This window comes from Homo sapiens, chromosome X, assembly GCF_000001405.40.
Source record: "Homo sapiens chromosome X, GRCh38.p14 Primary Assembly".
In the NCBI taxonomy this organism is placed as follows: domain Eukaryota; kingdom Metazoa; phylum Chordata; class Mammalia; order Primates; family Hominidae; genus Homo; species Homo sapiens.
In genome coordinates this window covers 138,481,384-138,490,141 of record NC_000023.11, presented here as the reverse complement: position 1 = coordinate 138,490,141, position 8,758 = coordinate 138,481,384, and the positions used below count along the sequence as shown (strand labels likewise).

General features: G+C 45.3%; 2 pseudogenes; one reads left to right on the top strand and one right to left on the bottom strand.

The window, feature by feature from the left end:
- Positions 1,260-2,672, top strand: KRT8P6 (keratin 8 pseudogene 6; annotated as a pseudogene).
- On the bottom strand, positions 5,857-7,453 carry MAGEA13P (MAGE family member A13, pseudogene; annotated as a pseudogene).

The window sequence follows — 8,758 nt, the reverse complement described above, 5'->3', positions numbered from 1 at the left end:
GTGTCATGGACTAGTAGAGTAGTCAGGAGACGTAACTCACCTAGAATAATGCTGGGTAGCTAGCCATGCTCTTCCTGACAGGACATAAGATGACTCTAAGGCAAGGTGGTGTGTCTGGCATGCCACTGGTCCGCTCTGTCACGAGACCTGCCTACCCAGACCACAATGAAGCTTCCAGCTTGTAACAAAGACTCAGAGATTCCCCAAGCCTATTCACATAAGTTGTCCTGAACCACCATGCTCCCCACCCAGATTTCCCACCTTCTCTTATAGGCACTGCTTCACTCTACACTGAACTCCGGATTTACAGCTCTGAGTGTCACCTGGCCTTGGGCTCTCTGGAACCATTTTGCACGTGGTCTTGCTCGTGGACTCTGGCAATTACTCTTCCTTAGATCCTTCCAATGCCCCTCACTAGCTTAGGGGTGTCCTGTCTGGTCCTCTTCCCTGGCTCTGCTCCTGAACATTCTGACCAAACCCTTGCTTCTCAAAGCAAAGGGAGAATGGTTGACATTTCAGAATTTTAAACCATACCCGGAAGAATTCTGTTGCTCTGGACATCACTGCATAAATCTCGCTTTGTATGGGTGAGGAATTAAGTTATATTTTCTGCTTAACCTAATGAGAAAATGAGAAAATATCTATTAAAACAATAGTGAGATAATACTTGTTCACCCATAATTTTACCCCAAATTTAAAATATTAATAATAAAAAATGGTTCTGAGCATGTAGGTATTAACATACATTGGTTTATGAGAAAATGAATGTTGCAGCATTTTTGGAATAAAATGTCAGCAACATTTATAAAAATTAAAAACATTCACACCTCTCCCACTTAAACCCAATTTTCCACATTAAAATGTCTTTCTTATGAGAAAAAAACACACATTTGACCAAGAATTCATGTTTAAAAAAATGTTGATTTAAGTCCTATTAATCATACAAAAAAATCTAGAAACAACTCATTTGTCCATTAGGAGGAAAAATTTTCAATTATTTATGACACATACATTCTTACATTCTTTAGAATACTAGGGAGTAGGTACAAAAGCGAGGTAGATTTATGTGTGCTGTTATGGAAAGATTCTGCATCCACTTTATTAAGTGGCAAACGCAAATGTCAGGTGAATGTGTACTTCATTACCCATGCATATTTTTTAAAAAATGCTTCTACTCAGAAGCAGCTTCTGGGCTCCTTGAATCTCCATCTGGTTCAGCCGGCCTGCCTCCACTCAAGGTGAATCAGAGTCTCTTAAGGTGGAGGTGGACCCCAACATCCAGGCTGTGGGCGCCCAGGAGAAAGAGTAGATCAAGACTCTCAAGTAGTTTGCCTCCTTCATTGACAAGGTGCAGTTCCTGGAGCAGCAGAACAAGATGCTGGAGACCAAGTGGAGCCTCGTGCCACAGCAGAAGGCAGCTTGGAACAACATCATGTTTGACAACTACATCAGTAACCTTTGGAAACATCTGGAAACCCTGGGCCATGAAAAAGCTGAAGCTGGAAGCAGATCTTGAATACATTCAGGGACTGGTGGAAAACTTCAGGAATAAGTACAAGGATGAGATCAATAAGCATACAGCTATAATGAATTTGTCCTCAACAAGAAGGATGTGGATGAAGCTTACATGAACAAAGTAGAGCTAAAGTCTCAGCTGAAAGAGCTGACCCATGAGATCAACTTCCTCAGGCAGCTGTATGAAGAAAAGATCCTGAGGTGCAGTCCCAGTTTTTGGACACACCTGTGGTTCCTGTCCATGGGCAACAGCTACTCCCTGGATGTGGACCGCATCATTGCCAAGTGTGCCCAGTGTGAGGGGATTGCCAGCCATAACCCAGCTGAGGCTGAGAACATGCACCAGAACAAGTGTGAGGGGCTGCAGATTCTGCCTGGGAAGCACAGAGATGACCTGTGTTGTACAAAGATGGATATCTCTGAAATGAACTGGAACATCAGCCAGCTCTAAGATGAGACTGAGGGCCTCAAAAGCCAGATGGCTTACCTGAGGCTGCCATGGCAGATGCCAAGCAGTGTGGGGAGCTGGCTGTTAAGGACACCAATGCCCGTTAAGGACGTCAATGCAAAGCTAGTGGCGCTGGAGGCAGCCCCGCAGGGGGCCAACCAGGACATGGCCCAGCAGCTGCGTGAGTACCAGGAGCTGATGAAATTCAAGCTGGCCCTGGACATCAAGATTGCCACCTACAGGAGGCTGCTGGAGTGGAGGATGAGAAGAGCTGGATGGAATCTGGGATGAGTAACATGAGTATCCGTAGGAAGACCACCAGTGGCTACTCAGGTGGGCTGAGCTTGGCCTATGGGAGCCTCACAAGCTCTACAGCCTGGGCTCTGGCTTTGGCTCTGGCAGGGGCTCTGATGCCTTTAGCCACAGGAGCTCCTCCAGGGCCATGGTTGTGAAGATTATCGAGACCTGTGATGGGAAGCTAGTGTCAGGGTCCCCTGATGTGCTGCCAGAGATGCCCCTCCCAGACTACCCACTCCTGTGGCTGCCCCAGAACCTGTGGGAGAGGCCACTAAACAGGGGAGCATAGGGAGCGGGAGACCCATCTGACGCTCAGCCATAGCCCTTAGCCTACCGTTGAGGGGAGTTTGCTGCCTGGGGTACCTGATCTTGCCCATGCCCCCTAACTAAAAACCAATTCAATTGTATTTTTCCAAAATAAAGACTCAGCTGACTCTACCAAAAAAACTCACAATATAATTTTCTACTATATTAATCCATGAAAAAGCCTAGATTCAGCTTTAAAATAATACACATCAAATTGTTAATTGTGGTTATCCCCAAAAAGGTGCCTGAATGTTGGAGGAACTTTCTAAAGGCAAGAATTTTGATTGATCTGATCTGTATTTTTAAAATTTTTTGCAATAAGTGTACTTGCACAGCTACTTTTGTAATGAAAATATTTAAATAAGCCTAGGAGTTCCTCGAGACTTATTCAAATATTTATGTAAACAAGTATACATATAAGTATAAAAAATTTAAATATAATAATTTTATATTGAAATAAAACGTATTATATGAACATATATATAAATAAAAGTTGTGCATTTATCAGTTAAGTAACTGCTAGCTGATGCAACAGATAAAACCTGAAATTTGAATGGCTTAACACAACGAAAGTTTCCTTTTTGTGTGCATAAATTCTGATGTAGGTTGCCAGGGACTTCCTCCGTCAGGCCACCCAGGGATACAGGCTGCTTCCCTGTTCTGTAGCTCCACCATCTGAACTCAGGGCCACCGTGTTTGCTGCTCGATGAGAGAGGAGGCATGGAAATGGCACACTGGCTTTTGCTGTCACATAATAGGTGCTCAATAAAAAGCAACTATCATAACTTGTTATTACAACACTCTTCATTTCTTGGAGGAGTTTCTGAGAAAACTAAACTCATCTTGAAATTCACCACGGTTCTTAAGTGCTTTCAAATACAGGATCACATCCAGTTTTCAAAGAATCCTAGAAATCTTTGCAGGGAGTTCTGCACTGATCTTTGCAAAAACTTCCATAATTTTAGTAGACTAAGAATTTTTTCCTTCTATTTGATGCATGGTCAAAATCTTAACTTACGAGTCTCTGCTACCTTCCACAGGACTGAACACTTTGGAACACCTGTACAGGTACCATTAAGTGAACTACAAAACAGGATTTTCCTGTGGAGGCAGAAACACAGACAAGAGCAAGTAGAATGATGATGAACCTTTATTTTCTTTTTCATCAGAGCTAGCATGTCTGTCAGGGAATTATTGTTCACCTCCTAGGAGAAATTTAGGATTTTAGGAATTCAGCCTTTTGTAGATGTTTGCTTATCAAGTAATTTATATGGTCTTTCTTTGCCTACTGCTTATAAGGGAGGCTTTGGTTTTTCAACCATCAAAGTATTACCATTCGTCAATGCATTCAGTGGCCTGCTTCAAATAATACACTTTATTAAATTCCTATCGCAAATATCAGGATGATTAAAAGATCTCTTTTTCTAACTTTAGGATTATATCCCAAGAACCAGCATATTATGTGCAAATCAAACTCTACTCACTAATCCATTTGCAAGACAATTTGAGTATGTGTTGAAGAGGCCCAGGGGGAATGACCAGGCATCAAAACATCCTCCAAAGTGTGCTTTTAACATTAGAAAGGGCTGTTGCTATCAACGGGATTCCAGAATGAGGGAGGGAACAGTTCAGGGAACATCTGCAGATAGAAGGAATGCTCTGTGTCAGGGGAAGGGCAGGTGATTTTGAGTTCTTCCACCTGGAGCAGGGCACAGCCCTCAGAGGAGGAGGCAGTGATGATCTGGTAAGCAGTCCAGGTTCCAGGTTTGGACAGGGGGGCACACAGGTCAACACCAGAGAAAGGGTACTGTAATGCAGGGAAGTGCTGGGACAGGACAAAAATGTGAGCGCCTGGGCAGAATCAGCTCTCAAGGACCACGGGGCTCAGGCAGGAGGACCCTAGGTTCATAAAGCCCACAGACTACTCTCAGATTGTGTTTCTCATTCCATCTTCCTTCCTTGGGCCTGCTTTTTAGTACCTTAGCCACAAGGTTCTTTTTGTTACCTGAACAACATTATGGAGAACTGAGAACAGATATGAACCAAGAGGCAGAAGGCCTGCCTCAGGCTAGGATGAGTGGGGCAGTGTGGGCCTAGATGAATTCAGGCCAGAGGTCAAGTCCCAGTCCTGTCACTTACTAGTTATATGATCTGGGGAAATTATCAAGCACTATGAGCCTCAGGCTCTTCATACGTAAGGTGGATTTCATAAGCCCTGTCTTGTAGAAGTGTTGGAATGTACGTAATGTGAGTAAGGCAACTGGCACAGCCACTTGCATGTATTGGATCTTTCATGAATGGCAGTTGTTTTCAATATGATTTTAACCCTAAACCCTCCATATGTACCATATTCTCTGGGAGTGTGTGTTGGGAAGGTGGGGGAGAGAAAGAGATATCAAGGATATTTCAGAGAATATGCAGCACACTAGGACATAACACACCAAATGGGTCAGAAATGCTACTTTATAAATAAAACTCAGTAAATTTTTCCTATTGATAGACACATTATTTGATTTGGATGTAGGGAAGTTTTCACCAGCTGGATGCAACTCAAGGATCCTAGAAGTTTTGAGTCAAGGAGTAACTCCTTCCAACCCTCCCAACTTCTCTTCCATGCAAATCACTATTTTCATTCATTCCACTCTCACTCAAAATCTAGCCTTTGCTTAGAACTGGCCAAATTACAGTCAAGATCATTTAATTAAATGCCTTTTTAATAGAGTCGGCCCTGGCTCTCCCACACCAGGGAAATGAATGCCAGCCTAGAGGCTTCTGGGCACCACTTTAAGGGGGTATCACCCTATTTCTCAGGAAACCCTTGCAGATGATGTGTATGAACACTTAGTTCATGCACCCTGTTCAACTACACTGGGATGAGTGCAGGCCACATTCCATACTTTGCCCCAGGTGGAGATTCCTCTCTGCTTTGTCCACCATCTAGAAGGAACTGCTAGGAGCAGTTTTCCATTCCAGGCTTTTATCTCACCTATAAGACATATTGAGCGCCTGGCCCCTGCCACCATCCAGCTTAACTTAAAATTAACTCCCACAGAAGGAGTTGCACTTTTCCAAATCTCCAAACTTCCTTAGCTCAAGCATTTTTTCTTGACTGTTTAATCTGAAGTCCCACTTCCTCACTCCTTCTTTGTACTTGCTCTTTAGGTCTTAAAGGGCATCTTGCCAACCTCCTCACTTAACCTGGAATCCCCACTACTAACACAGTGCCTTACAAAGAGCAGATGCTCAATTAATGTTTGGGGAATAAATGAGCCAGTGAACTGGGGCTCATATTTAATAAGATTTAATTTCTCATACATTCTTGAATAAGCCAAATAATTCAGGTATAAATCTTTAATACAAAACCACAGATTAAGAGGCATACATAAATCCTACAATTAACCATCTTCTATGTTTTTCCTGTATTTATTGATCTCATTAGTTTTATTGCTAGGCTGTTACACATTTCTGAGAAAATTCCTATTCCAACACCATGTTATCTTATTCCAGATCACAAAATAAGACGGAAGCTTCCCCCCTTTGGTTTATATAATAGAAAACTTTTATTTTTAAACCTGATAAACAGTAATAAATGTGTGAGCAATGTCATTCATGAATCTGCATTCTGAAGCTAATAAGCCTTTTAAGAGAAACATTTGAAAAATACCAAAAAGCAAAAACAAACAAACAAACAAAAAGATAAAAATCTGCAATCAGCCCTTCACTACTTAAAACCTTGACTTCTCTTTTCAAACACAGAGTGAAGAATCTGCCTGAGACTTCACTCAGGGCAAGAGAAGCTGCTGGACTTGGCCCAGGAATGTGCACTGGCCATGAGAGTAGTACCACCCATGGTGGCAATTATAGCCTGAGCTTTCTCTTTCTCATCTCTTAAAGCTTCCTCATACAGGAGTGGAAAGGAACTGGCATCACTCCCACTGACTCTGGAGAAAAACTCCAGGACTTTCATCTTGGTGGTTTCAGCATGAGCCCTTGGGCCCCACGGGAATTTGTATCTTGGAGGATCACTGTTGGATACCTGACAGCACTCCAGGTATTTTTCCTGCACCAAATCTCTGGTGATGAGCTTCCTGGGCTCCCCATAGATGAAATCCTTCCACCCAGCATACACCCTGATAATATTCAGCACTTCCCAGATCTTCTCTTCAGAGGCACAGTTGGCCTCCATTAAGATCACACCGAAGGTAAGAATCAGGAGGCCGGTCTTGGGCATTCCCTGGTCATCGCTCAGCCTCCTATCGTAGGTGAGGTCTAGTGATTTGAGGAGCACACAGGAGTGGCTGATGGGGTCCACCTCCTTCATGTCAGTGCCAAAGACAATCTCCATGCATTCATGGGCTTGCATAAAGATCGGAGGGAAGTGATCCTTGTGTTCTTTGATGACACCCTTCAGCATTTCTGCTTCTGTGATGGGCTGTTTTGTTGTATACTTGACACTCAGGAATTTCACCAACTCGTCCACCTTCTTCTCTAGCATGCTACCAAGCAAGGACTCGGGCTCTCACAGGGCCTGGGAGGCACCTGGATCCTTCTTTTCCTGGCTTCTGGAACTCTCATCAGATTGATTCCATGGAGTGGCTTTGATGGTAGTGCAGGGGGAGCAGACTCTCTGAGAACTCTGGGGAGTACCTGGTGTTCCAGAAGCAGACACCTTCTCCAAGGTGCCCTGGATCAGAGTAGAGGGAGAGGAGGAGGCTGTGGTATTCACCTTCTCAGCTTCAGCAACCTGCACACCTACAAGGCCCTGTGCCTCTTTGGGGGCCTGAAGCCCTTGCTCAAGCTCACAGTGCCGACTCTTTTGGCTGTGAGGCATCTTGACTTGTTTCGGGGGCAGCCTACAGGAGCATGGTCAGGAGATGGCTGATGAAGCCAACTGGACTGGGGGAGAGGAAGAGTGTGAAAAACTTAACCTTGTCATTCTGATAAATACTGTCTTAACAGGTCCTCTTTTAGTGCTCTAGGGCCCCACAGGTCTCCCGTCCTGCACTTCATCATGACTCCTGGCATTGACTGGATCTCCTCTTCTCTGTGAGCTGAGGACATGTGCCTCATATTAAGGCCTTCACTTCCAGTTCCTGGATCCCCTGTAAGAGGAGTTCAGGGGGTCCCTTCAGGGCTGATAGGTGGGATGGGGCCAGACTCTGAGGTCCTCACAGCTTTGGAGTGGATCCCCCACTACTCCTGGGTCCTACCATAGCTAACACCAGGGAAGGAAGGGCTGGGCCCATCTGTTTTTGTCAAGTCCCCTCCATCCTCAAATTGACTCTTGGAAGGGCCTGAAATTCCTCCCTCTGCTGAACTGAGTCCAGCTGATGGGATGGAGGGCACAGCACATCTGGACACCATGCTCCAGGGCCTCCCGGGGAAGGAATAGTGTAGGGCAGGTGCCTCAACTCTATGAAGGTGGCAGGGGGTCCCCTCAATCCTCATTCAGGATCCTCACTTGGACTCTTGGTATAACCTAGTTCTCCTTCCTGGGCTGACTAGATGTAGCTTCCTCTACTGATGCGAAGCTGCCCCCTTAGACTAAGGCCTTCACTTCCCTGAGACCAATGAGACAAAAGTGAAGAAGTACCACATACAGCCACCCCTGCCCAGGAACTCCTAGGGCTGATAGCAGGGGCTGGACTTAATATGTCCTTGGGTGGTCGGTACACTCAGTTATCCTTCAGGGTCCTCACCTCCATGCCCAGCAGGGCCTGGGACTCCTCCCTCTGGTGACCTGAATTTGGCCGTCCCAGACAAAGGCCTTCTCCTCTTTGAGACTCTCAGGTCAGTGGAAAATGAGGGGAGACTTACAGACAGACCTCCCTGGGGGCTACCAGGGCCGACAATAGGTGTGGGGCAGGTTTTGATGGAAACTTCCTTTGTCTGGAGTAAGATTTGCCCTCAATTCTCCCAAAGGGACTCAAATTTACTCATGACAGGGTTTGCATTGCTTTCCTTCTGCTGTCCTGAGGATACCTCCCTCAGGCCAGGGCTTCCATGGCCAGACATGCCAGACAAGCAAGTGAGGGAAGTGGAAGGTTGGAGGGAGGTGCCTATGCCTAACAGTCTTACTCAGGGTATTCCAGGGCTGGCTGCAGGAGCAGGACATGGTTTGGGTCCCTCTACTTACAGTCGGAGGCCTCATCAGTCCATTCTCTGAGTTCTCACCTTGACTCCTGGCAGGGC